The following is a 26,876-nucleotide window of genomic DNA, read 5'->3' as shown; positions in this document are numbered from 1 at the left end:
TAAAAGCATCTTCTAAAACTCATTCAGCAACCAGGAATCCAAACCAAAGCAGATGAAAAAGAAGAAAAGAGGAAGGAAGAAAAGAAAGAAGGAGGAGAGCTCAGAAAACACAGAGCCTTTTGAGAATCTATTAGGGTTCTCTTGGTGGATCTGCAAGAAATATGGCCTTTAGAAGGATGATCCTGGCACCAGGGATTGGGTGTCTAAAGGATAGTAGCATGTTGGTATCTGTCATTTTGAAAGCCCGTGAACCACCAGCAAGGTGAGGACCAGCACCATGAAGTCTGGTACTTGCAGTTTTGAGCAAAGTCTTCGGGTCTGATATGCCTGGGTCAAAGTTGGCAAAAATAAAAAATAAGTGAATGAATGAATACACAAAATACATGTTAAGAATAAACTCTAACACAGTCCCTTCCATAGCGAGTGGTGCGTGTCCCAGCAGACCTGTTGCAAGTCGTGGTTCTTGCCCTGGGCCAGTGTCTCAGCGGGTCTGAACTGGGCACAGTCACATCCTGTGCCAACCTGAAAACACTTAAAGGGAGCAGGGAGTTCTCCCTTGGGCTGCACCATCCAGGGCCCAGCAGTGGGGAGACTCCAGCCAGTCATCACACCATCCCCTGTCTGACGAGACCGGGCGCATTCAGGGTGGTATGGCTGTAGACAGACCATCCCTTATCTGGAGCAAGAAACATCCCTGCCCTCAGGAGGTTGCCTGAACAAGTCAGAACTAAGCAAACTTGTTTAAGATTCTGGTTCCCAAGAGAAGGGAGGGGAGGTAAGACAGCTATTCTCTGTGTTGCCCCTCTCTGTCTGAAGTCCTGCTCCTCGTGGGATAACTAAGAGTGTGACAAGTGCATGTTACATGGAAACGATCCTGGAGCTCCAAATACACCCTTGCTGCCTTTACATGTTTTTGATCTCGACTCAGTTTTCCTTTTATCCACTGCAGCATTTGCTATGCCCCTCAAAGAAACCCTAACCATAATGAGACCATAACAATGCCTTGGAATAAATTGCCTCGGAATACATGCCTTTTTTTTTTTTTTTTTTTTTTTTTTTGCAGAGACAGGGTTTATATAAAAGAGAAATGATCAGTCTACATAGACAATGACAAAAAGGCCATTTCTGGTGTCTGTGCAAGGCTCTTCCCTTCGCCACAAGGTGCTTCTTCCATCATTACCCTCCCTGTTGCAAGTGGAATGCAACTCAATTAGACCCTTGCTTACTGAGTATGAGTATGAGCCAGAACCCTGTGGACAGCTGGGGGTGCACAGATGAAGACACCACAGCTCTGTCCTCAAGGAGTTCGTAGCTGGTACATTAGTTCGCTAGGGCTGCCATGACAAAATGCCACAGACTGGGTGGCTTTAGACAACAGGAATTTATTCTCTCACAGTTTTGCGGGCTGGAAGTCTGAGATCAAGGTGCCAGCAGGGTTGGGTTCTTCAGGTGCCTCTCTCCTTAGCTTGGAGATGACCGTCTTCCTCCTGTGTCTTTCTGAGGTCTTCCCTCTGTGGGAGTCTGTTTCCTAAACTCCTCTTGTTATAATGACATCAGTTATATTGGATTAGGGCCCACCCTCATGACCTCATGTAACCTTGGAGTTAGGGTAATTAATTACCTTAATTACCTATCTCCAAATACAGTCACATTCGGAGGCATAGGGGGTTAGGACCTCAACATATGGATTTTAGGGGAGCATAATGCATCCTACAACTGTTGGGCAGGGCACTGCCATCTAGACACCCTTCAATGGCACACAAAGTGATTGGTTCCTGCAGTCGACAAACACTGACAGAGCACCTAGTGGTGCCAGATGCTGTTCTAGTTGCCGAAGATACAGCGGTGGATGGACAGAAATTGCGGCTCGTGGAGAGCTCACCATGGAGGAGAGTAAGGCAGGGAACACATTAAAAGTGTAGAGCGGGGCCACTTGAGGTTTTAAGCAGTGTGGTCAGCGACTTCCTTTTTGAGAAGGTGACAGTGGAACGTGTGGATGTTGCAAATACAAGAAGGAGAAAGAGTTTACGAAACAGAGAGGAGGCTATACTTAATTTTGTAGGGCAGGGTTGGGGGAGGGTAGATAAAGGCTTTCCAGGGGAGGCAACTTTCCTCTTCTTAGAAATAAAATGGTAATAGCTACTATTAATGCAAATTCTCCATGCTTTCTTGGTGAGTCTTCACAACAACTCTGCAAAGCAGCTGTGACTACCCTCAATCTGCAGATGAAAGAACCAAGACCAGAGAGGGTAAATGTCTCACCTAAGGTCACACAGCTAGTTCATGGCAGAGCTGGGATTTGACCAGTCTGTCCAAACCCTGTGTTCTTGGCACACCACCACACAGTCTCTCCTGGATAAGCAGGGCTTCAAAGGGGGAGTAGAATTCTGGGAGGTAGAGGAAAGTGAGAGTGACTCCTATCAAAGGAACCTAGTCTTCCCAGGCAGAGCAGACAGCATGAGCAAGTCAGAAGGCAAGAAAACATTTGAGGAATGACAAGGACTGGGGGTAAGGGGCAGGGGTGTGAGGGCAGAGGTAGAGAGGAGGCTGAACAACTTAGGTTGGGGCTAGATGGCGAAGAGCCTGGAATGCCACGCCAGGGAGTTGGGATTTTGGTCTGCAGGCAAGGGAGGGTCAAAGCCTTTTGGGCAGGGTCCTGGAAACAGAGGGGTCTTGGATTCAAGGTGTGGGGTGGGGCTGGCGGGAAAAGAGGCACATCAATGAAGAACAAACCCTCAAACCAGACAGCTAAACAATAATCTCAGCTAACCCCAAATTAAACAGTCAAGGCCCAGGCTGCTGAGAGATATCCTTCCCACCCACCTCCAAGTTTCTCCTTTAAGTAGATGCTGGGAGCTCTTCACTTTTCATCTGGAACTTTCGCCCGTTGGGTTTGGCCTCTCTTCCCTACCATGGAATGGCTGAACAATTGGGGTTTGAATGTGACAGCTGATTCTCCCTTAATCAATTCCCCAACAATAATGACAGCCAACATTCACCAAAGCCTTAGTGTATGCCAAGTGCTAAGTTTCACTTCTCAGAAACCCTACGTGGACACTAAGGCTCAGAGAGGTTAAGGAGCTTGGTCAAGGTCACACAGCCTGGAGCAGTAAAACTGGGATACGAACTTTACGTGTAGACCTAGGGATTGTGTTAAAATACAGATGCTGATTCAGTGTGTCTGGCGTAGGGCCTATGACTGTGCATTTTATTTTTTATTTTTATTTTTTTTTTGAGATGGAGTTTCCCTCTTTTGCCCAGGCTGGAGTGCAGTGGTGCGATCTTGGCTCACCGCAACCTCCACACTCCGGGCTCAAACGATTCTCCTGCCTCAGCCTCCTGAGTAGCTGGGATTATAAGCATGTGCCACCACGCCTGGCTAATTTTTGTACTTTTAGTAAAGATGGGGTTTCGCCATGTTGGCCAGGCTGGTCTCGAACTCCTGACCTCAGGTGATCCACCCACCTCAGCCTCCCAAAATGCTGGGATTACAGGCATGAGCCACCGTGCCTGGCCATGACTGTGCATTCCTAACAGGCTCCCAGGTGAGGATGCTACTACGCAGGTGCAGCAAGCTTTAAGGTACAGGGCTCTGTAAGGCTCCCCAAGAAGCACTCTCCTCTGCATCCTTTGTTCTTTTTCCTTACCACCGTCAGTTCCAGAGACAGGTGGTGGCATTTCCTGACCTTTCCCTACAAGTGGCCTGCAGCCCCTGGGAGAAGGAAAAAATGGATCAAACTGCCAGAGCAGCCCCTGGAAACTTCTCAAGGTGGCTGGCTCACAGTCTGGCTGTCAGGATGGTACATGGCTCCGCTCTTGACCTCTCTAGGGATGCATCTGGGGGAGGTGAGGAGTCAGACTGCAGAGGCCTCCTGCAGTGGAGGATCTCAAGCCCTCGGGGGTTCAGAGGCCAGAGGGAGCTGCAGAGCCGGGATCCCAGGGGTCTACCCAGAGGGCAGCAGTGCTCTGAGCCCAGGGAATGCTCAAGAGCTGCTCGCTCTCAGGGAATCACACCTCCGGGCTTTGACAGGGATGCCACGTCTCATCGCAGAGCTTTTCACTAGGGCTGTCAGGAGAAATAACAGGGCTGTCTGGGAGCTTTCAAAGGAAGCATCTTGACAAGACATCAAAACCAAAAAGGATGCTTTTAGCTTTGTGGGGTCTTCTGACAGGGCTGTTAACAGATTCTGCCTCAGTTCATCAAGGGTAGATCTTTTTTGAGGGGGTGGGAGCAGGAATTGCTCCTTTGTGTTTTAAAATCACAACATGACACCCCCCGAGAAGGCATTCTCCTGGGTAGATATGTTGTGGCAATGGTGACGGGTGGGGGCAGGGCAGGAGGAATTAGATGCTGCAAAGCAGAAGGCCTGGGCTTTACTCTGAGCTCCAGCAACCCAGCTCTCTTCTCATCTGTTTCCATCCTTGCCTCCATTTTTCTCTTCTGTTAAACAGAATTGCCTTTGAAAGGTCACTGGTGACTGAGAGTTAATTCCTGAGTTTTCTGATTTTTCTCCATTTTATCTTAATCCAAATTTGAATTTTGGAGTTGGGCTTATAATGTGGCTCCCAAACCATCACACGTCACCTGGAGTGCTTTGTAAAAATACCAATTCATGAACCTCAGTCCAGAGTTACTACACCCAAGCCTCCAGGTGCAGAGCCTGGGAATGTATATTTTTAATCAGAAGTCACGCAACTGCGGCACAGCCTTGTTTGCTACCTTTGGAATCAAGACATCACTTGGCTTCTTCTAATTCAGAACTGGTTGGGCTGAAACACACTGTCCCATGAAGACACAGAGATGTTCACAGCTACATTTTTTTTTTTTTTTTGCTGCAACTAAAACTACAAACAGCCAAAGCTCCCTGCCATGCCGAAGAGTAGAATAACTGTATTAATACTCCCAAAGGGAATGACAGACAATTTGGAGGACGAGGTAGAAACGGGGGAAGAACTGTACAAAATTATAATCCTGGAAAAGAAAGGAAAACAGAATGCTGGCTGCTTGATAACATAGCATAAAACATCTTTATAAACACGATCCACAGAAACAGAGTTGGTGATTTGGGAAAGTTGAGACGTAAGAAGCAATTTCCTGTTATCTGTGTTTGTGATTTAACCTTTTGTATTGCTTAGTTGCTCAAACGGACACATTTTTAAAAAGAAAAGAAGGGGTTTGTTGACCAAGGAAACCTGATAGTACTAAAATGTTGTTTACATGCACAATCTTTTACAATTGTATTCTATTTAGAGACAGGTTCTCACTCTGTCACTCAGGTTGGAGTGGAGTGGCATGATCATAGCTCACTGCAACCTCAACTCCTGGGTTCAAGTGATCCTCCCACCTCAGCCTCCTGAGTAGCTGGGACTACAGGCACATGCCACCATGCCCAGCTTCTTAAAACAATCTTTTTTTTTTTTTTTTTTAATAGAGATAGGGGTCTCATTATATTACCCAGCCTGGTTTTGAACTCCTGAGCTCAAGTGATCCCCCTGCCTCAGCCTCCCAAGGTGCTGGGATTAAAGGTGGGAGCCACCATACCTGGTTTACATGCACAATCTCTATTATTCCCAGAACACCAACTGATGGCTGTGATCTCCATTTTACAGATGAGGAAACTGAGGCTCAGAGAGGTTCGATGGCTTGCTGAAGAGGGTAGAACCTAGATAATCCTGGCTCCATGCCTGCTGCTTGATCCCTATGACACACAGTTGTTCATTGTTAACAATTCTATTTCCTGATACTGTGTCTATAAATTAGATTTCTCACAAATTCCAAGTGGCCTTGCCCCTCTGGGAGTGTTCAAAGGAGGAAGATTTTAATTGAATTGTGATGTCTTTTTCAACATGCTGCTCTGAGAAGCTCTTGTTAGGAAGAAAGCTGACATGATCCTTTCTAACCAAAAAAGCTTCATGAGTGGCCCATGGAAGTTTGAAGTGAGGTCTGTGGCTGCTTCACGCCGCCTGCTGTGTGAGCATCACCACACATTTGGGTGACACGGGGCCCTGAGAGGAGGCTGGGTGTCCTGCCAGAGGTGGGATGGGGTGGTGGCTTCAGACAGGGCAGTCAGAACTCAGGGGCAGAGGAAGCCACTGATGCCTGAGAAGGTAGACCGGGTCTGGACCCATGTGAACCGGGAGCCCCGAATTTACTCATTTACTCCAAACCAATGAATTCCAAAGCTCAGACCCTTCCTACCCTTCAATAGGTAAAGCCTTGGCCTCCAGGGGCCTTGTTCTCCATCAGTGCTCAGCATTAGTGCTCACCAGGTCAGTAGAAGTGGGGCACAGGCTGAAGCCAGCACCCCCAGTTTGAATCCTGGCTTCATTACTTACTAGGAGTCCACTTTTCTCTGGCCACAGCCTTAGTGCCCATCTCACAACCCCCAAACCCACATGCAAGCCAGAGAATACCAAATGCTGCATGTTAATTCACCATGGCTAACCTCAGTTCCTGCAGCTGTAAAATAGGGTGAACCTTCACCTGCAGAACTGGCCCGAATGAGGACCTTTGACACTGATGTGTTCTGGGACTAATCACAGGATAACTTTGATTAGTAAGCTAGCGTGAGTGGTGAGGGGATTGGCAAACTGATGTTCAGAAGGACTGCTCCACCCCTCCTCCCCATCAGACCCCGTTTTCCTCTACAGCGCCTTTCAGTGGCCAGGCACTGTATCAGGTGCTGCGTACTTCTGCTAGCTCATCTCACCTGGTCATGCCGCTCTGAGATTTTTTTCTTACTCATCTTTTGTTCCTACCTCTTAAATTTCCTGTGTAACTGTTCCAATATGAATTTCCCAACTTCGCCTCTCTGTTTTAGTAGATTTTGCCCTGTATCTTGCTGAGATGCAGCTCACCTTTTCCATCTCCAAGCATCTCTTTGCTTTCCAGTTGGTTAGGAGGAGGTAGTTGGTCTCCCTGTTAAAAGGCTAATCCCTCCACCAGGCCTCCAGCTCAGCACTCATGGGTTCTGTCAACTCCTGTCTCCCTCCACTGGGTCCCCTTCCCTTTGGGTTACAAACACCTCAGGTTGCTGTTTCCATAAAAAGGCAAACAAAGCAAAGCAAAGCAAACATGAAAAGCAAGGCTAAATCTCTCATGACGGCTCGATTCCACCACCATCTACACATCATTATATCAGATCCTTCATCCTATGGCAGAGGTGAAGAGCTCAGTCAGGCTCCTGAGTGGGAGACGTGCCTTCGAGGTCTGGTTCCACGCCACGGGTGAGAGACCCTGGACATGTTCCACCAATCCTTTGAAGCCTCAGCCTTTCCATTTGTAACATGGGGATGAAAATGGTAGCCACATCAAAGGGCAGCTGAGAGTATCCAGTGAGCTAATTTGAGTATATTTGGTTCTGTGCCTGATCCTTGATGAGCTTGGAGCTCACAACAGAGGGTACCTGTTGTTAAAATGATTTTACCATCAAAATTCTCAAAGGAAGTTTATGATTACACCTGCTCACCGCTTCTCTTACTGCATGCTTCACCCCTCACCTCTGTGGATTCTGCCCTCCCAGCTCTGTTGACAATTTTATCTTAAACTGCCAAATATATCCCCCATCACTGACTCTGCAGTGCCATCCTCAAAACACCTCTACTGGCTGCTGCTTCTTGATCTCGATTCTTCTTCTTCTCCTTCTTTTTCTTTTTTTTTGACAGAGTCTTGCTCTGTTGCCCAGGCTGGAGTGCAGTGGTGTGATTTCAGCTCACTGTAGCCTTGGCCTCCTCGGCTCAAGCAATTTTCATGCCTCAGCCTCCCGAGTAGCTTGGACAACAGGTACATCCCCCCATGCCTAGCTACTTTTTTTGTATTTTAGTAGAGACAGTGTTTCACCATGTTGCCCAGGCTGGTGTTAAATTCTCAAACTCAGGCAATCTGCCTGCCTCAGCCTCCCAAAGTGCTGGGATTACAGGTGTGAGCCACTGTGCCCGGCCCCTCAGCTTCCTCTTCTGTTTTTCTGTTCTCAGTAGGTGCCTCGCCATGCCCTTGGCTCTTCTCATCCGTCTCCTCTCCATCCTTCTTGGTGAACTCATCCATCCCAAAGATCTGAGCTCGTCCTTGCAGATATCTACCAAACCAACATTCCTAGCCCTGGCCCTTCCACTCCAGAGCCCCAGACTTTCCTTCCCAGCTGCAGGTGGCTGGCAAGAAGACAGGAGGGACTAGATGGATTCATAACTGGACAAAGGCTGGAGTGGCCACTCTCCACTGAAAGCTTAACAAAGTCAGAATAATTCATGAAAACCAGGAAACATAAACTGGGCATGGTGGCTCATGCCTGTAATCCCGGCACTTTGGGAGGCCGAGGTGGGCGGATCACGAGGTCAGGAGATCGAGACCAGCCAGGCCAACATGATGAAACCCTGTCTCTACTAAAAATGAAAAATTAGCTGGACATGGTGGCACACACCTGTAGTCCCAGCTACTTGGGAGGCTGAGGCAGAAGAATCTCTTGAACCCGGGAGGCGGAGGTTGCAGTGAGCCGGGATCTCGCCACTGCACTCCAGCCTGGTGACAGAGCCAGACTCCGTCTCAAAAAAAAAAAAAAAAAAAAACCAAAAAGAAAACCAGGAAACATAATACATGAATAAAAAAAATAGATGATCCGGCTGGGCGCGGTGGCTCATGCCTGTAATCCCAGCACTTTGGGAGGCTGAGGCGGGTGGATTGCTTGAGTTCAGGAGGAGCTCGAGACTGGCCTAGCCAACATGGTGAAACGCTGTCTCTACTAAAATTACAAAAATTAGCCAGGTGTGGTAGTGGGCACCGTAATCCCAGCTACTCAGGAGGCTGAGGCGGGAGAATTGCTTGAGCCCGGGAGGCAGAGGTTGCAGTAAGCCGAGACAGCGCCACAGCACTCCAGCCTGGGTGACAGAGTGAGACTGAGTCTAAAAAAAAAAAAAAGATAATAGACGATCCAATTTCACTTGGAGAACAAGGTCTACTCACTTATCCCCACCAGGAGAACTTGGCAGCAGCTGAGCTGGATGATTTTTGGAGTCTCTTCCAAGTGCATGCCGTGTGCATCTATGATCACCACTGGGGGAAGGAGTGGGGGTTCTCACATAGACCTCAGATTTAACATATCTAGAATCAAGTTCACCTGCTTGCCAAACCTGATCTTTCTGTAATGTTCCTTATTCCAAACAAATGCACCAGCATCGACTCAGTCATTCAGGCTGGAAACCGGGATAGCACTGGTTCTTCCACTTCTTCCCCATCCTGGAGTCTGCTATGCCCCAGGCCTTCCTGACTCTGCTTCCATGAGGTCTCCTAATTCTTCATTGCTCTGCCCCAGGTCCTCCTCGGGGCTTTCCTCCACAACTGCAGTGAGTGCTGCACCTGGCCTGAGCCCTGGGCCTCCCCGGTTGGATGCAGGCATTGCCTACCTAGTGCCCTTTTCCTCCTCTTCTGGCAATGGCCATCCAGTTTTTCTAGAGAAAGACCCCTACCCATGCCTGGCCCAGGTGGAACCTCTGGCACTGCACATGTGACTTGGTCCTGCCCAGTGAGAACATCACTGTCTCCAGGAACAGTGAGTGATTAAGGAACAGCCTGATCCAAGTACAGCAGTCAGAATTAGTGGGATTCCATTCTGGGGCTTTTATTGGAACCCTTGGGAGAACGAATGTGCTCCTTTCTGGTGGAGTTGCTGAGGGCACTGGATAGAAGCCAAGAGGCACCAGTGGCTATCTCGCCACGACGGAGGAGAGCATGCCTGGGCGCTGAGCTGAAGGCTGAGTTGAGAGATGCAGAGAACCAGTCCTGATGATGTCCCACTGAATTCCACTGTGTCCCAGTCCAACAGACTCACAGATTTTTCCACAGTGTCAATTTGTTTAAACCAGTTTGATGGGGTTTTCTGTCACTTGTAACTGAAAACATCCCGACAGACAGAGTTTCAGGCCAGCCTCCTCGCTGCCACCATTCCTTTCTAAAACAGCAGTTCTCAGCCTTTTCCTGCCACGACAGCATGGTTGCTGGGATGCCTATTTGTAACATTCTCTCAGGGTTACCTGTCATTCTTGGGTTGGTTCTAACCCCACACCATTCCCTCTTCCTTAAGAATCTCAGGACATGAGTGGGATTGCATTTTAACAGGAATAACCTTGCCAATCAAGAAAAGTAAGCCACTCACAAACTTCAAGGCTTTATTTTTAGCCGCAGATTGCTTGCTGCCCCATACCTCGCAACTGATGCCATGGCTGAACATCATGTTTCTAAACACGAATCTGATCACGTCATCCCTGTCTTCAACACCTCCCTGCAAAAACTGGGAGTGAACTGTGAGAGGCACTCATCGCCAGCAATCTGCATCTTACCACTCTGTTCCCTTCTTCAAACATTCCTGGTGTTTTAAAAGGGATCTACAGCAGATCTATCGTTGTTTTTTTCTTTTCGGACATAGAAATATAAACATAGCTCAGGCATTCACTCGTTCATTTGTCCATTCATTCATTCATTCTTGAATGCCTGCTATGTGCCAGACACTGCCTTAGATACTCAGGGAATAAGGTATAAGATTCTTGCCTTCAAGGAGTCTACCATCTAGGAGGGGAGACAGAAAGTAACCAGAAAACAAAGAACTTAGAGTGGTAAGTGCTATGCAGAGAGGTTTTCAAAATGATGTGATGGTGACTAAAGAGTGACTCTCGGCCGGGCGTGGTGGCTCACACCTGTAATCCCAGCACTTTGGGAGGCTGAGGTGGGCGGATCACGAGGTCAGGAGATCGAGACAATCCTGGCTAACATGGTGAAACCCCGTCTCTACTAAAAATACAAATAATTAGCTGGGCATGGTGGTGGGTGCCTGGAGTCCCAGCTACTTGGGAGGCTGAGGCAGGAGAATGGCATGAACTTGGGAGGCGGAGCTTGCAGTGAGCCGAGATTGCACCACTGCACTCCAGCCTGGGTGACAGAGTGAGACTCCGTCTCAAAAAAAAAAAAAAAAAGTTACTCTCAATGGTATAATCAGGGAAAGCCTGTCTGAGGAGAGGGTATCTCAGCTGAGATCTACATGTGAGGAACAGCCTTGACACACTCATGAGTGTCAGTGAAAACGGGGAGGCTCACTGACGACCCGTGACAATTTTATGTTCATTGCAAATAATTTTCAAATTATTCAGTTATTATTAAAAATTCATATTCTCCCCAAAGATACTTTTTTGAAAGGTCTTAAAAAGCTCCACTGAAATGTACTTTTCCCTTTTCAGCATGAAAACAAAGCTCCTCAGTGGTTTTATAATGGAAATAAGTTTTTCTTTCTCTTACTTAAGACAATTCAGGAATAGATAAATATGAGATAAGAGCTTCAAATAGATAAAAAAAAAAGACACAGAGAGAGGAAAAAAAGTCATCTGTGAGTCCAGATCAAATATTAGAAGAAATTTTAATCCCAAATAATAGTTTTTATAAAGTGGATAAAAAAAACTATATAGCACACGGCTTTTTGAAGTAGTCAAAATGATGCACTGTCTTGACAGCTTATAAAAAGAACTTTGAGGCTGGGCCGGTGGCTCACGCCTGTAATCCCAGAACTTTGGGAGGCCAAGGAGGGTGGATTACCTGAGGTCAGGAGTTCAAGACTAGCCTGGCCAATGTGCTGAAACCTCATCTCTACTAAAAATACAAAATTAGCCAGGCATGGTGGTGCATGCCTGCAATCCCAGGTACTTGGGAGGCTGAGACAGGAGAATTGCTTGAACACGGGAGGCAGAGGTTGCAGTGAGCTAAGATTGTGCCATTGCACCCAGCCTGGGCAACAAAAGCGAAACTTCATCAGAAAGAAAGAAAGAAACGAAGGAGGGAAGGAAGGCAGGAAGGAAGGAAGGTAATAAAGAAGGAAGGAAGGAAGGAAGGAAGGAAAGAAGGAAGGAAGGAAGGAAGGAACTTTGCACCCAAATGCCATGAAGGGAGAAGCTAATGGAGAAAAGCCAGAATCAAGAAGGTCCATAGGGCACTGGAGTGGGAAGACTTTTAGAGGTAACCTGCGCTATTCATTAGTCAAGGTCAACCACAAGATTTGGGGAGGAACAGAATATAATTATGGTGAGAGGAGCTTCACCACTGTTACAAGGCGTTTGTGGCCTGCCTGGGCAGGTGAGTGAAGTGTCTTCCAGAGGTGGTGGCTGTCTGTTCTCAATGTCAAGGTCAGGATATTTTGAACTGAACTGATTCTTGAGAAGTCAGTTGAGTGGGTAAGTCCATTAGCTTTAGAATCAGTACAGAACGGTTTGAATTGCAGCTGTATCCGACACTTCCAGTTGTAGGAGGTTGGCAAGATACATGGCTTCTAGATTTGGTTTATTTATAATAAATAAATTTATCTGGAGCTAATGACCACCTCATAGGGGTGTGAGGATTAAATGGTACAATGCTTGTGAAGACTCCATCATAATGCCAGGTACCTGCAAACGTGCAATAAATGGTAGCAATGTTTATGATGACTTGAGGGCAGCCCCAATAGATGATTAATTAATTAATGTAGACAAAGTCTCACTATGTTGCTCAGGCTCGTCTTGAACTCCTGAGCTCAAGTGATCCTCCCACCTTGGCTTCCCAAAGTGCTGGGATTACAGACGTGGGCCATTGTGCCCAGACCTAGATGTATTGTAAAGCTGAAATTAGTGTGTAAGAAAGAGTATGATAATGAGGCTAATTTGATCCATTTGAGGAGATTGAGGTAACTCATGACTCTACACCCTGAGCCAGGAAAGTCAGGAAATTGTCTTTGTATGTGTATCTACCTAAGTTTCAAATCATAAACCGATCACATTGTAACACCTTTAATCTCCCTCTTTCTCTGAGCAATAATCTTGTTTTATTTTTTTTTAAAGCAATAAGATTAAGACATATTTTGAAGCATAGCGGCTTTCTTATTTTTTCTGTTAATTCCTGATGTTATAATCTTCTCCCAGGCAAAGTATTCTTTCTCCGTGTGGAAAGAATCGTAACAGCTGCCACCATGTACAAGCACACACACCTACACGCCCACAAACACGGAAAACCAGGGCTTAGAGAAGAGTGATGTGTTTCTGAAAGCAGAAAAAAAAATCTTGCTAAGACAGAAAGAAGAAACAATCATGGTTTTATGTGTCACATACATAAATAAATAAGGCACTATCAAATGTTTAAGATAAGCCTGCTCTGATTTACAATCCATCAAATTCTGCTATCAAAACATTTAGAGAGGCTGCGAGACTACAGGGATTTATAATATCGACAATTCTTGGTGTAACCTTTTCATTTCCTTCCTTGTGGGTGATTCGTGCACACTCCATCTTCCTGGAGCTGGGAGAGGAATGAGATTTCTCTGCTCCCCAGGCACAGATCAGGGCGAGACAGGGCTTTTCAGCAGTTCTTAGATTCTGTCTGTCAGATCTTTCTCCATTCTACCCTCCATCCCCGCCTCCAGGCCACCCTTTGCAGCTTTCCCTTGAACGCCTTTCATCTCTACCTCGAAGAGACTTCCCTTTATCTCAAAGCCTTGGATAAATGGTGAAGGTTTACTCTTATTCTCTGATAGAATGTCCTCCACAAAGCCATTCACTGAAGCCAGTTAAATCCCAGACAAAAACCACTCAGATTCAAACCACACCGAGAGGCTGTGTTTCGGCATCTCTTTACACAGGACCCAGGGTGTGGTAGGCTGAAAAATGGTCCTCAAAGATATCCAGGTCCTAATTCCTGGAATCTGGGAATCTTACTTTGTACGGCAAAGGGATTTGGATGACGTGAAAAGGGAATTTGACAGTGTGATTAAGGATCTTGAGATGGAGAGATTATCCTGGATTCCCCAAGTGGGACCTAAATGTAACCACAAGTATCCTTATGAGAGGGAGACAGGAGGTTTCTTTTTGAGATGGAGTTTCACTCTTGTCACACAGGCTGGAGTACAATGGCGCGATCTCAGCTCACTGCAACCTTCGCCTCCTGGGTTCAAGCGATTCTGGAGGCAGGAGTTTTGACTACGAAGGAGAAGGCAATGTGATTATGGAAGCAGACATTGGTGTGATGTGCTTTGAAGATGGAGAAGGAACACAGGTGGACACCAGAGGCCGGAGAAGGCAAGGAAACAGATTCTCCCTGAAGCCTCCAGAAGGAGCCGGCCCGCCAATACCTTGACTTTAGCTCAGTGCATCTGATTTTTGACATCTGACCTCCAGAAATTAAAGAGAATAAACTTGTGGTGCTTTAGGCCACTAAGTTTGTGGTAATTTCTAACAGCAGCCATTGGAAACTAATACAGTGGGCAAGCTGAGCTTGGTTTGCAGCCTGTGCCATTCATCTCACTCCACTCCACCTCTTAGGAAGCTCCTCCAGCAGCCCTGGAGAAGCTGAGCTGCTCTTTCTTGGGAATGGGCAGTGAGCTAGAACTCTCAGCCCTGACCCATAAGATTCACAAGGCCAAGATCTGCTGTTGTCTTCAGTTTCCACAAAATTGCCACAGTTAGGATGATGACTGCCTCTGCTCCACATTTGAAAATGCTAGTCTTTAGAGAGTCACGCACCAGCTCGTACTGTCTGTGCCACCTCCAAATCAGGTCTACGGTTCATCTAGCGCTCTCATTTTCCACTATGACCACCCCGATCCAAGGCACCATCATCTCTCATCTAGGCCTCCTGCCTGGTTTCTCTTGGGCCCCCACTCATTTCCTTCTCCCATTCATTAATGCTCCAGAAAGATATTTTAAAATCAGAAATCATGTCTGCTTAAATATCCTGGTGCTCAGGCCACATCCTAGACCAGTTACATCAGAATCTTGGGGTAGGGCCAGGTATTGGTAGGTTTTGAAGTTCCCTAGGTGATCTTGATGGGCAGCTGGGGTGAGAACCTCCTGAAGACTCTGATGCTGCAGCGCGTAATGACTGGGTACATATGTGACTTACATCCTCGGCTACACACCCCTGTATAGAACCTCTGCTTTGGGAGGTGAAAGATCTTACTTTGAAGCTGCTGGAGCTAAATCTGTCTTTAAGCTGAACTAATAAATATTTTTCTTTTTATTTCCTAGGGCTGTATTGAGGATCAGATGACATAAGGCGTGCAACATTATCTACCTGCTCTCTCCTCTCTCTCTCTCTTCTTTCCGTCCTGTCTTCAGTCTTATAAGAGATGAATGTCTTGTGGCAGGTTCTTCTGCAGGCCCAAGGCTAATAGGGAGAAACATGAGGCCTACCGCACAAACTCTGGCCCTTCTCACGCAGGCAGCAGTGTACGAGCCCTGCATAATACTCGTGGCTCCTGGAGGCGCCAGGCGTGGAGCCTCATGCACGACTGTGTCCTAACACAACAAAACAGCTTCAGTCAGGCAGGGTGAAGGCCAGGGAAATTATGGCTGCAAGTCTGGACCTGATGGTGTTCAGCTCCACTCATTTTATAAGGATCAGAGAGGTATCAAGGCCCATGCAAAGGTACATAGGCTGGGGGGTTATTGGCAGGTGACCTTTGACAGCCTAGTGGAAGACGTGCCCTATCTGGACCTGGAACAGCCCTCAGGCCAGGGAGGCCTCCCATGATAACACCAGGACCAGCTTTGGGCCGAAAAAGGGATGGTTCTGGTTGACCTTCCTGGTGTGACATCTTGGTGGATGGACCAACAACTGCTGGGTGCCAGTGTGCCAGCCGGTCCCCCTACTTCCCATGGGTCTGACAATATTCCCAGCACCCCCGTCCTCCATCTTTTAGATGGTCTCTCAGGCTGAACACAGTGGCTCACACCTGTATTCCCAGCACTTTGGGAGACCGAGGCAGTCAGATCACCTGAGGTCAGGAGTTCGAGGCCAACCTGGCCAACATGGTGAAACCCCATCTCTACTGAAAAAAATAAAAAAAAAAAAAAAACAAAAATTAGCCAGGCGTGGTGGCTGGTGCCTGTAACCCCATCTATTTGGGTGACAGAGCAAGACTCCGTCTCAAAAAAAAAAAAAAATTCTCTCAGGACACGTGTGGGATGCACCAAAAGGTGGGAAGAGAAGGTCCTTTGTAGGATCACCTTCACCACGGAGGCAAAATTCTTACCAAGTCTGTCCCATGTGGAAGGGTTCTAAAAAGGCATGATTTTTAATTTACACTTCAGAAAGAACCTGTGGGGGCTGTCCATTCTTCCGCAATCCCTCTTTCACATTTCTAAGCAATTCTGTAAAGTGTTGCTTTTTTGTAGAAAGTCACCAGGCTGCTTGTTCCTTTTTGCCAATAGTCCTTTCCATCACCTCTGCACCAGTAATGACCGCGGTGATGCTGCTGATGGTAATAAGTATCCCTTGGGTCTTGAGTGTGCATTGCAGCCCACAAAACATTTCTACATGCATCCTCTTGCAGGAGCTTCTTAGCCCTGAGGAGGCAGAGCAGGAAATGCTAGGACCTCTATTTTCCCCTGAGGCTGCTGAGGCTGAAGAGAGGTTTCTTCAGTGATCTGTCTCAGAGCCTTCATTACACCCGCTCTGTGCTGTTACCTTCTGGGTTTTAGAAGCAGGTAACGGGAAGACTGTTACCTTCCTGTTGTACAAACAAGAGCTACAGCATGGAGCCGGCCTGCTGAATTAAGATGGGGACCAAAACTAGATCCTTCTTTGGCCCCTGTGGCTCCCCATTAGGTGCAAGAACACATTAGTCAATTTCAAAAGCTATGTAGCAGCCATAGCTTCCCATAGCGCCATAGAGTTGGATTTATACTGGTAACCTGTGTACTCCATAGATTTTGAGACTGAGTGTGAGCTACGGGTATATAAGAACAAGAAACAAAATAATGCTCAGTGGAGTTTTTCAGACACGAAAACCATGTCTTTGAGATTTGCTTTAGCCTTTTCCAGGGGAATTCCCAACAACTGTCTTTTTTTTTTTTTTTTAAGACATGGTCTCGCTGTCACCCAGGCTGGAGCACAGTTGCACAATCTTGGCTCACTGCAACCTCTGCTTCCTGGAGTCAAGCTTTTCTCATGCCTCAGCCTCTCGAGTAGCTGGCATTACAGGTGTGCACCACCATGCTTGGCTAATTTTTGTATGTTTAGTAGACACAGGGTTTTACCATGTTGGTCAGCCAGGTCTCGAACTCCTGACCTCAAGTGATCTGCCCGCCTTGGCCTCCCAAAGTGCTGGGATCCAACTGTCAGTCCTAATGTTCCAAGATGTAATGACCCTGGGTAAGGAAGCTTGGCCAAAATATAAAGATATGAAGAAGCAAAACCCTACACACAAATGAGAAGTGGGGTTACTTCTTGGCTGATGGAATGAGCAAGTCTGATCAAGGAGCTCTGGCTGATCAAAGCAGGCAAACAGGGAAAGAAATGAAAAAGTAAGTGCGCCTGGTGTTACACGGGTGGTGTTAGAAAAACGTTATAACAACTAGCTTGTTTGAGGGAAAGTGCATTTCAGAAGTAAAAGAAAATCTCAGTTTTCTCATCTGTATCATGGAAATAATAGAAACTAACACAAGATTGCTGTGGAATCAAATAATATTGATTGAAGAAAAGTGCACAACACAACTTGGTATATAGGAAATATTCAATAATGTTAACCAATAAGATAATAATGATAGTAATTGTAACAACCACAGTAAAAATAATAGGATGTCCTATCTTTATGGAAAACTCACCTTGTCCCAAGTCAAGATGATCACCTGGCTTCCTCATTTCCTTTCCCACACCTGAGGGGGCACCAAGCTCTGTCACTCAGGTTGGCAAACACAAGAGTCATCTTGGATACCCCCGTTGGCCCAGGGTGTGAGGCCTTAGCTCATGAGTTGGTTTCTCTCCTATAATCTGAATCCATGCTCTGTTGTCATTTGTTCGTAACATTCCAGATGGCTCCACACTAGTCCCAGCCATCCTGACAGCTTGCCTATATTACGGGAATCGAATGACTTTCCTTCCTTCCCAAGTCTCTTTATCCCAATTTGCCCTGTGCCTGCCGCCAGGCAAATCTCCCCTAAATCTCTGATCTTACCCATCTCTTCTTTCAGTAATAATCCATGCTGGTTCCCCATTTTCATTGAATTCTATCCCAACTCATCTCCCAAGACATAATTCCAAGGTACCCCCCAAACCTCACACACTCTTCTCCCTGAACATTCTGCCCCCTAAGCCACAGGATCTTTGAATGTCCCCTACTTCTCCTTGCCAAATATTTTCTGATGATTTGCCAGACAGACCCCTGGTGTAGGCACTGGGGACACAGTAGTGAACAAAACAATCCAGTTTCCCCGATAAGCCAATATTCTCAAAAGCAAGGTTGTCGGGTTCTTATCCACTCATTAGTAGTTCCTCTATTCATTTAACAGATATTTGAGCAGCCACTAAGTGCCACCTTCTGTCCTGGTGGGAGTGGGGGAGATAAATGAGATGGAGGAGATGGAGCCTGGCTTAGGGCTGTCCTCTTGGAGCTTAAGTCTAGTGGAGAAAAAGAAAACAGAAGTACTGATAGTGCAAGCGTCCTAGGGCCAATTTTAGGGGTAGTATGGGACTTTACGAAAGCGGGGAGAGGAGAGGGGAAGCAGGACCTCAGTAGTGTTTATCCTGAGGGCAATGGAGAGTGGTGCAACTTGATGTGTATTTCAGAAGCCACCAAGTTAAATCCCCCTGTGCCTGGTGTTCCCAAGCTTGCCTCCAGTACTCTTTCTGGATTCCTGTGAGTTTGATTTCTAACGCAATGGGATCTTGATCTGCCAATATGGTTTGGCTCTGTCCCCACCCAAATCTCATCTTGAATTGTAGCTCCCATAATTCCCACATTGTGTCATGGGAGGGACCCAGCGGGAGGTAACTGAATCACAGGGGTGGGTCTTTCCTGTTCTATTCTTGTGATAGTGAATGAGTCTCATGAGATCTGATGGTTTTATAAAGGGGAGTTCCCCTGCACAAGCTTTCTTGCCTGCCGCCATGTAAGATGTCCCTTGCTCTTTCGCCATGATTGTGAGGTCTCCCCAGCCATGTGGAACTGTGAGTCAACTAAACCTCTTTCCTTTATAAATTACCCAGTTTTGGGTATTTTTTTTTTAAGATGGAATCTCACTCTGTTGCCCAGGCTGGAGTGCAGTGGCACGATCTTAGCTCACTGCAACCTCTGCCTCCCGGGTTCAAGTGATTCTCCTGCCTCGGCCTCCCAAGTATCTGGGATTATAGGCATATGCCACCATGCCTGGCTAATTTTTGTATTTTTAGTAGAGACGGCGTTTCACCATGTTGGCCAGGCTGGTCTCGAATGCCTGACCTCAAGTGATCTGCCTGCATCAACCTCCCAAAGGGCTGGGATTACAGGCATGAGTCACTGTGCCTGGCCTGGGGTATATCTTTATTAGCAGCATGAGAACAGACTAATACAACACTATTTATTGATTCATTCGCTATGTCACTGGCTTACCCAGTCCCAGGTGCTGTACTAGCTTGTGAGGCTACAAAGAAAACACATAATCCCTGTGATGGGCAGCATTGTGGTCCTCCAAAAGATACCCAGGTCCTAACCCCTGGAACCTGTGAATGCTATCTTATATGCCAAAAAAAGATGTTATCTTATACTGCAGATGTGATGAAGTTAAGGATCTTGAGGTGGGGAGATCATTCTGGATGATCTGGGTGGGCCCTAAACGCCATCCTCAGTGTCATTCTAAGAGAGAGGCAGAGGGAGATTCCAGACAGAAGAGCAGAAGGCCACGTGACAGCAGCAGGGGGAAGCGGAGTCAGAGAGAAGATGCTACACACTAGCACTGAAGATAGAGGAAGGTGCTGTGAGCCAAGGAATGCAGGGAATGTAGCCCTAGATGCTGGAAAGGCAAGGAAACAGATGTTCACCCAGAGCTTCCAAGTGAGTGTGGCCCCTGCTGATGCCTATGCCTCGTAAGGAGTTCCCTAGGACCAGCCGAACGAGGAAGAAAACACACTGGGTCCTGGCTTCCAGATGGTTCATATCTGCACTCGCCACCTGACAGCGAACAACTGCAACTACAGCACAGCGATGGGCCGTGGAACTATCTGGTCTTCCCACGTTCCCCATCGTCCTGAAGCGGCTGGCTTGACAGAACGGTGAAATGGCCTTTTAAAGGCTCAGTTACAGCAGTCACAGGAAAGTATTACAATCCCTATACTCAGAGAGTTTACTACCTAGTGCAGGACATAGCCTTTAATTAAGGAACCACACAAATTAATGGCAAACTGACAGCAGCCAGACAGCCTGCCTTTACACGGGAAGACATTTCTCCAGGCAGGGCCCTCAACCCTTGTTCCGCACCGGCATCAACAGAGGAGCTTTTAAATACCCCAGTGCTCAGGCCTCACCCCATACCAATTAAGACAGTTTCTCTGTAGGTAGGGCCCAGGCATTTATATATATTTTTAAAGCTATTGGACAGTTCCAGGGAGCAGCCCAGCTTAAGCAGCACTGGTTTCAGGCTGGCCACTTCCCAGGAGATCTGAGCTGGGGCGCATGCGTGTGGCTTCTGTGAAGGACACTAATAGGAGAGGTTATTCCCATTCAGTTCCTCTGTTAGGTGGGTTTGTAAATCTGGGCTGTCATCTCACTTAAGCCGTCACCAGAAAGTCCATTTCTGTGTGTGCCCCCCCACTCTGTCCCATGTCCTCTTCTCCACTTGCAGTCACAATGGCCTCCCAATCACCCTTCCACTCTGTCCCTGTGATCTGCTGAAACACACCACTCCCTTCTCTTAACCGTTCCCTGGCTCCCTAGCATTCCTGAAATATTGTCCAAGTTCCTCCATGTCGTCTTCAAAGCCCTGCTTAGAGAGCCTGGGCTTCTGATTCACCCAGTGTGTGTCAGCTATTTCGGAACCTGCTCTGCCCTCCTCCACCTCTAGGCTTTGCTCGAGCTGTTCTCTCTGCCTGAACCAGCCCTCTCTCCAAAATCTTCCTATCAAAGGCCAACCTCTTGCGTATCTTCAAAGCCTTGCTTATATCCCTCCTCCTACAAGAGTGTGTCTGGATTCCCTCTGTCAGATTGTTTACTCCCTCCTCTACTCAAAGAGAACACGGTTTGAACTTGTTACTCTGTAACATCTATTAGAGTTACCTGTGTGGGTATTTCTCGCCCCTAGTGGGTCAAGAGCTCATTTTGGGCAAGAACCTGGTGCTGTTCATCACTGTGTTTTCCATAGCACTAAGAACTGGGGCCTGCTCAGCAGGTGCTCAGTTAGCAGTTACGGAAGATCAATCACACACCATCACGTCCTCCTCTACGCTGCCTATCTCTTGACGTCTAGTGCAATTTGCACAAGACACTACTAAGAACCTCACTTGGCAATTGTTTGATTTCAAGGGGAACAATCAACTAGTAATTCATGCCACAACTGTGTAACAAGTTCCATCCAAATCAGTTTAACTTACTCCAAAGTTATCTTGGGGTGAAGATACAAATCTCAAATGCTGAGAAGTCAGGCTGATGCTGGGACTGCTTTTGTATAGCCAACTAGTAAGCTTTTCAGTGGGGTCCCCCTTTTCCTCTCTAGGAGTTCTTCTAACAGCTGACAGCAGAGTAAGGTATGTAGTCGCTCCTGTATTTTTCTTAATAGCAAGATGTCACTGACTCAACTTCAAAGGAGGAGGAGAGACCTGTGAATTCTCCCATATTATTAGCAGCAGAAGTAACTACAGCAATAACTGCAAACCTCAACACAACTGAGACCGCGACTCAGATACCCTCAAATACCTGGCCACTTAAAGATCAGAAGCTACAATACATGGGGTATGGTGGACCATTTTTTCTCTGTCTGGTCACCAGATATTCACCGATGGGCCAATCGGTTCATTCAATCATTCATTCAGTAAAGTATGTACTGAGGGCCTAATATACACTAGCATTGTTCTGGGCACTGAGACTATTGCCCTCTGGATCTTCTATTCTAGAAGACCCCTTGCTCTGACCCAGGCCTGGGTTATGACCTGTGGAGATCAAGAGAGACTGGAAGTGAGATTGTGCGAGGCCAGGCTTTGGCCCCAGTCCATCTCTGCTCACCACCTTTAATGGATTGAATTTTGTCCCCCTAAAAAGATATGTCAAAGTCTTAACCCCTAGTACCTTAGATTTTGAGTCTATTTGGAAATAGGGTCTTTACAGAGGTAATCAAGTTAACATGAGGTCACTGGCATGAGCCCAAATACAATATGACTAGTGTCTTTATGAAAAGGGGAAACTCGGGTGCAGAGGCAGACAGGCACTGAGGGAAGATGATGTGAAGAGCCACTGAGAGAAGATGGCCGTATGCAAGCCAAGGAAGCCTGAGGTGCCCAGCAGCTAGGAGATGGGTCTGGAACAGATCTTCCCCTAGAGGCTTCAGAGGGAGCACGGCCCTGTTGACCTCAGCGTTGGAGTTCTAGCCTCCAGAACTAGAAGACAATGAATCTCTCCCAAGCTACCCAGTTTGTGGTGCTTTGTTACAGCAGTCCTAGGAAACTGATACACCACGCAAAGCAGGAATCTTTCTTTCCAGGTAATCACGGCCTGGACAACCTGCTGGGGAAGGCCCACCTAACTGATTCTGCCAATTTTGACAATGTGGACCCATCTTTCATCAGGACAGAGCACAATGACTTGGGATGGAAATGCCTTATATTTTAGCAAATTTGATGTATAAATGCTTGGAATTTACACTTGAGAAGCTGAGGGGTGGTGGTTATCGACAGGAATCTGTCAGAGAGCATACCCATGGAGCATTTATAATTGGGAGCCATTCCAGAATTCTGGTTTGCATACAACTCTTTAAAAAGCCAGCTACCCTGAAATGTACACTATCTGAGCTCTGCCTTTGCCTGTGATGAGTGATGTTGGTCCTGCCTCTTAGTTCTGCTCTCAGTCTCCACCATCGGCTTCTCAGATTTTCCTTCCAGGACCAGCAGGCAGGTGGGTGTGGTGACTTTGTGGCAGACACTGTGGCAGATTAAAGGTGGTTGCAAATTGTGTGACACTTTTTTCATTGAGAGATGGGGTCCATGTTCCCATCCCTACCTCCCTTGAATCTGTGCTGACCTGTGACTGCTTTGACCAGTATAATATGGTGGAAGTGAATCTATGACAGTTCTGGACATATTTAAGAACCTACGACAGTTTAAGAGGACATGCAGTTTCCACTTCTTTCCTCTTGGAGGAGTCAGAAGTTTGACTACTTTGAGGCCACCATGCTGTGAGGAAGCTCAGCCTACCCAAGCAGGGAGACAGACGCTCAGCCAGTCTCCAGCTGCTCTAGGCCCATCTCACTTGAGGCCCCCAGGCCTCCTGGAGTACAGACAAGCCATAACTGCTACAGTCTGTCTAAACTTCTCACTCACAGAACTGTGAGATATAATAATCGTAAACTTCTGTCTGCAACTCCTGGTTTTGCTGTGGTTTGCTGTGCAGCAATAGTTCACCAGAACAGAGGCCGACCCAAGATATCAACCAGGAATGTGAGAAGATTCCCTCTATCTAGACTTTGACACTGACAAGTAATTTTAGGAAGACATGAAGGATGCTGAGGAAGGTCTCAGGTTGAGGTGGAGTCCACACCTGATAGGGCCACCTGGTTGGCTCTGTCAGCTGGAAGACAGAGGCTGAACTGCCCCCTTTGCAGTCCCCAGCAGCCCACCGGGCAGATGGAAAATGTGACTAGAAGGGAAAAGAATCTCTATTACACAATATTACTAACAGCTCTATGCTGGCCACTCTGCTAGGTGGTTCATGTGTTACTGTTAAACTTTACAACCCCTTGACAGTAAGTGTTTCATGCATATGGAAACTGGAAGCTCAGAGATGTTGAGCAATACACCCAAGTACCATAGCCAATGCAAGGCAAAGCTGGGATTCAAACCCAGGCTCTAAAGCTGTGCTTCTTGAAGGGACCCAAAAAGGTCAAAGTTGGGGTGATCTGACACAGGAAATGGAGGAGAAGGAACAGGAGGAAGGTCCTAAAACAAAGTGGAGCCTAGTTATTCAAAGGTCCCCCAGGTCATGGCTGCCACATGATCCATTTGGCAAACATTGAAGGTTCCAGCCACCAGCCCTGAGACCTAACAGTTTCTCAGAGTCTCACAGGAGCAATGGCTATGAAAATGCTCTGCTATGAGTTTTCTGCAGGGCAGAGGGACTGACTCTGTCCGAGCCCTTCCCTAACATCTGCTGATTTTGTAAGTGGATATATTTAGTGGTGGAACAGTTTTTCTTCCAGTTTCATAACACTTAAAAAAAATCCCGCTTGTCCTATTTTTTTCTTTTTTTCCTTTTCTTTTTTTTTTTTTCATGAACTCACAAGTGATGTTGCCATTCTTTCCATAGCAACACACTAGGATACGGACTCTGCTTTGCTGGGAGAAGTCTAAGAAAGACCCAGGAGGAGGGATAAGAAGGTGTTGGTGGGGGTGGGGAAAACAGTTCTAAAACTTCAGCACCCAAAATGAATGCAGGAGCTGCCTGAGTCATTTTAGCACAAAGAGCTACAAGTGTCATCCCAGCTCCTCTCCTGTCCTCGAGGGATTCCTTCTTCATCAAGAGGCACAGCTTCTAGAGGCCCCTGTGTATTTGTTTCCAGCCTATCATTTGTTCTTCCTGAAGTGCTCTTTTTCTTCAATTCTCTTTTAATCCTTTTGATGACATAGGGAAGCAGCTTCAACTAGGTGACATCTGTTTTTAACAGTTTGGGTTAACATCGACTCATCTCTTTTTTTTGCCCCTGAGCTTTACTGAGGTATACTTCACAAGAAAAATTGTATATATTTTAGGTGTACAACTTGTTTTGATATAGGTATACATTGTGAAGCACTCACCACAATTGAGTTGATATATCTATCACCTCACATAGTTGCCATTTTCTCCTTCCTTCCTCCCTCCCTCCCTCCCTTCCTCACTTTCTCTCTCTCTCTCTCTCTTTCTTGATGGGGTCTCCCTGTGTTGCTCAGCCTGGTCTCAAAATCCTGGGCTCCAGCAATCCTCCCACCTTGGCCTCCCAAAGTGTTGGGATTACAGGCGTGAATCACCACGCCCACGCTTCTTTTTTGTGGCGAGAGCACTTAAGATCTGCGGATCCAAACCCCCAGGGGAGGGGCAGCAGCGGTGGTGGGGATGGGAAAGAAGAGAAAACAGCCGGAGTGCTCATCCCTGTGGTCAGCACTTGGGCACAAATCATCTCCTTCAAGCCGGGCACGGTAGGTCATGCCTGTAATCCTAGCACTTTGGGAGGCCGAGGTGGGTGGGTCACCTGAGGTCAGGAGTTCAAGAACAGCCTGGCCAACATGGTGAAACCCCATCTCTACTAAAAATACAAAAAAATTAGCCAGGTGTGGTTGTGGGTGCCTGTAATCTCATCTACTCAGGAGGCTGAGGCAGGAGAATCACTTGAACCTGGGAGGCAGAGGTTGCAGAGTGAGCAGAGATCACGCCAACGCACTCCAGCCTGGGCGACAGAGTGAGACTCCTCCATCTCAAAAAAACAAAAACAAAAACAAAACCAAAAAAAAACATGTCCTTCCATCCTCACAATGGCCCTATAAGATGAACATTCTTATCTCCACTTGCTTGAGGAAACTCAATCTGAAACCGAGAATCCAGAAGGTGCCACATACGAGCAAGGGATCTAAAAGCACAAAGCAGGACGCAAACGTAGGTGCTGTGCATTGTGGTGTGGTACTGTCCAGCCCGCCCATATGGAGCTCAGCCCCTTCGGCCTGAAAGCAGAAGAGCCAGCACCTCCTCTCGTGGGTGACTTGTGCTCATCACATCGATCCTGCCCTTGTGCTTCCCAATGCAGCTCTCTACCTCTCATTTCTATTCTCTGAGAGGCTGCGGCTGTGAACTGGAGGGCACGTGGCCTGCCGGGTGGCAGGTAGTCATTAAAAAACAATGCTTCTGAAGAGTATATAACCTCATGTGGACACATGCCTCCAATGCTAAGTGAAAACTGAAGCTACACCACACCGCATGAGTCCATTTATGTGTCATCCAGAGAAGGCAAATCATACAGACAAATCCATTGCTTTCCAGGGTCTGAAGGTGGGCGTTGAGTTTTTGGGGTGATAGAACAGTTCTATATCTTGATGTTGGTAGTGGTTATTCAACAGCATGGGTGTGTCAAAACTCATAGAATTGTACACTAAAAGTGTAATTTCATTGTATGTAAATTATATCTTAATTTAAAAAGGCAGTTGGTACCAAAGGTATCAAAAGAAAAAAAAAAGCAGAAAAATGCAGCTACACACAAGTATATACAACAGGATTCAATTTGAATTTTTTTTTTGTTTGTTTTTGAGACAGAGTTTCACTCTTGTTGCTCAGGCTGGAGTGCAACGGCACGATCTCGGCTCACTGCAACCTCCGCCTCCCAGGTTCAAGCGATTCTCCTGCCTCAGTCTCTCAAGTAGCTGGAATTATAGGCATGTACTACCACACCTGGCTAATTTTTGTAGTTTTAGTAGAGACGGAGTTTTGCCATGTTGACCATGCTGGTCTTGAACTCCTGACCTCAGATGACCCGCCTGCCTCAGCCTCCCAAAGTGCTGGGATTACAGGTGTGAGCCACTGCGCCCAGCCTCAATTCAAATTTCTGTAAAAACATGCAAATTGTAAGAATATGCAGATACTGTTAATGTCAGCTATCTATGGGTGTAGGAATTACCCATGATTTTTATTTTCTGCGTGATATATTTTCAACAATTTCTACGGTAACCTGGATTATTCTCTTTAGAATCAGAAAAGTGGTTTTATTTTGTTTTCAGAGAGCAAGCATGGTGGCACAGTTTTGAAGTGAAGCTCCATTTCTCAGAAGCTGTGTGACCTCGGGCAGGCCACATACTTTTGGGCCCTGTATCTTCATCTGCAAAACGGGATGCTACCATTCACCTCTGACGGTTGTCATGATTCAATGAGACAATAGATGCAGAAGTACTTTATACATTTGCAGAT

The 26,876-nt window shown here is 46.9% G+C and overlaps 1 protein-coding gene across 26 annotated transcripts in view, besides 3 other annotated features; it reads right to left on the bottom strand.

The window, feature by feature from the left end:
* Nucleotides 1-26,876, bottom strand: part of ZHX2 (zinc fingers and homeoboxes 2) — a 194,132-nt gene that overhangs the window by 28,015 nt on the left and 139,241 nt on the right. The window contains exon 3 of one of the 26 annotated variants that reach the window (NM_001412811.1): nt 15,068-15,291. The exons of the other annotated variants lie outside the window; for them this stretch is intronic. The gene's annotated coding sequence lies outside the window, so the exon portion shown is untranslated. The remainder of the gene's footprint in view (nt 1-15,067; nt 15,292-26,876) is intronic. 26 annotated transcript variants of the gene reach the window in all.
* Nucleotides 25,169-25,268: an enhancer, noted in NCBI's record as "active region_27863". NCBI's record gives its function as "activates an Ori minimal core promoter by ATAC-STARR-seq in GM12878 lymphoblastoid cells {active_cell/tissue: GM12878}" and the evidence as "EXISTENCE:reporter gene assay evidence [ECO:0000049][PMID:35858748]".
* Nucleotides 25,379-25,448: an enhancer, noted in NCBI's record as "active region_27862". NCBI's record gives its function as "activates an Ori minimal core promoter by ATAC-STARR-seq in GM12878 lymphoblastoid cells {active_cell/tissue: GM12878}" and the evidence as "EXISTENCE:reporter gene assay evidence [ECO:0000049][PMID:35858748]".
* Nucleotides 25,649-25,748: an enhancer, noted in NCBI's record as "active region_27861". NCBI's record gives its function as "activates an Ori minimal core promoter by ATAC-STARR-seq in GM12878 lymphoblastoid cells {active_cell/tissue: GM12878}" and the evidence as "EXISTENCE:reporter gene assay evidence [ECO:0000049][PMID:35858748]".

This window comes from Homo sapiens, chromosome 8 (genome assembly GCF_000001405.40).
Source record: "Homo sapiens chromosome 8, GRCh38.p14 Primary Assembly".
Lineage (NCBI taxonomy): Eukaryota > Metazoa > Chordata > Mammalia > Primates > Hominidae > Homo > Homo sapiens.
Note: the sequence above shows the minus strand (reverse complement) of the source record. Positions and strands in the feature narration are given on the sequence as shown.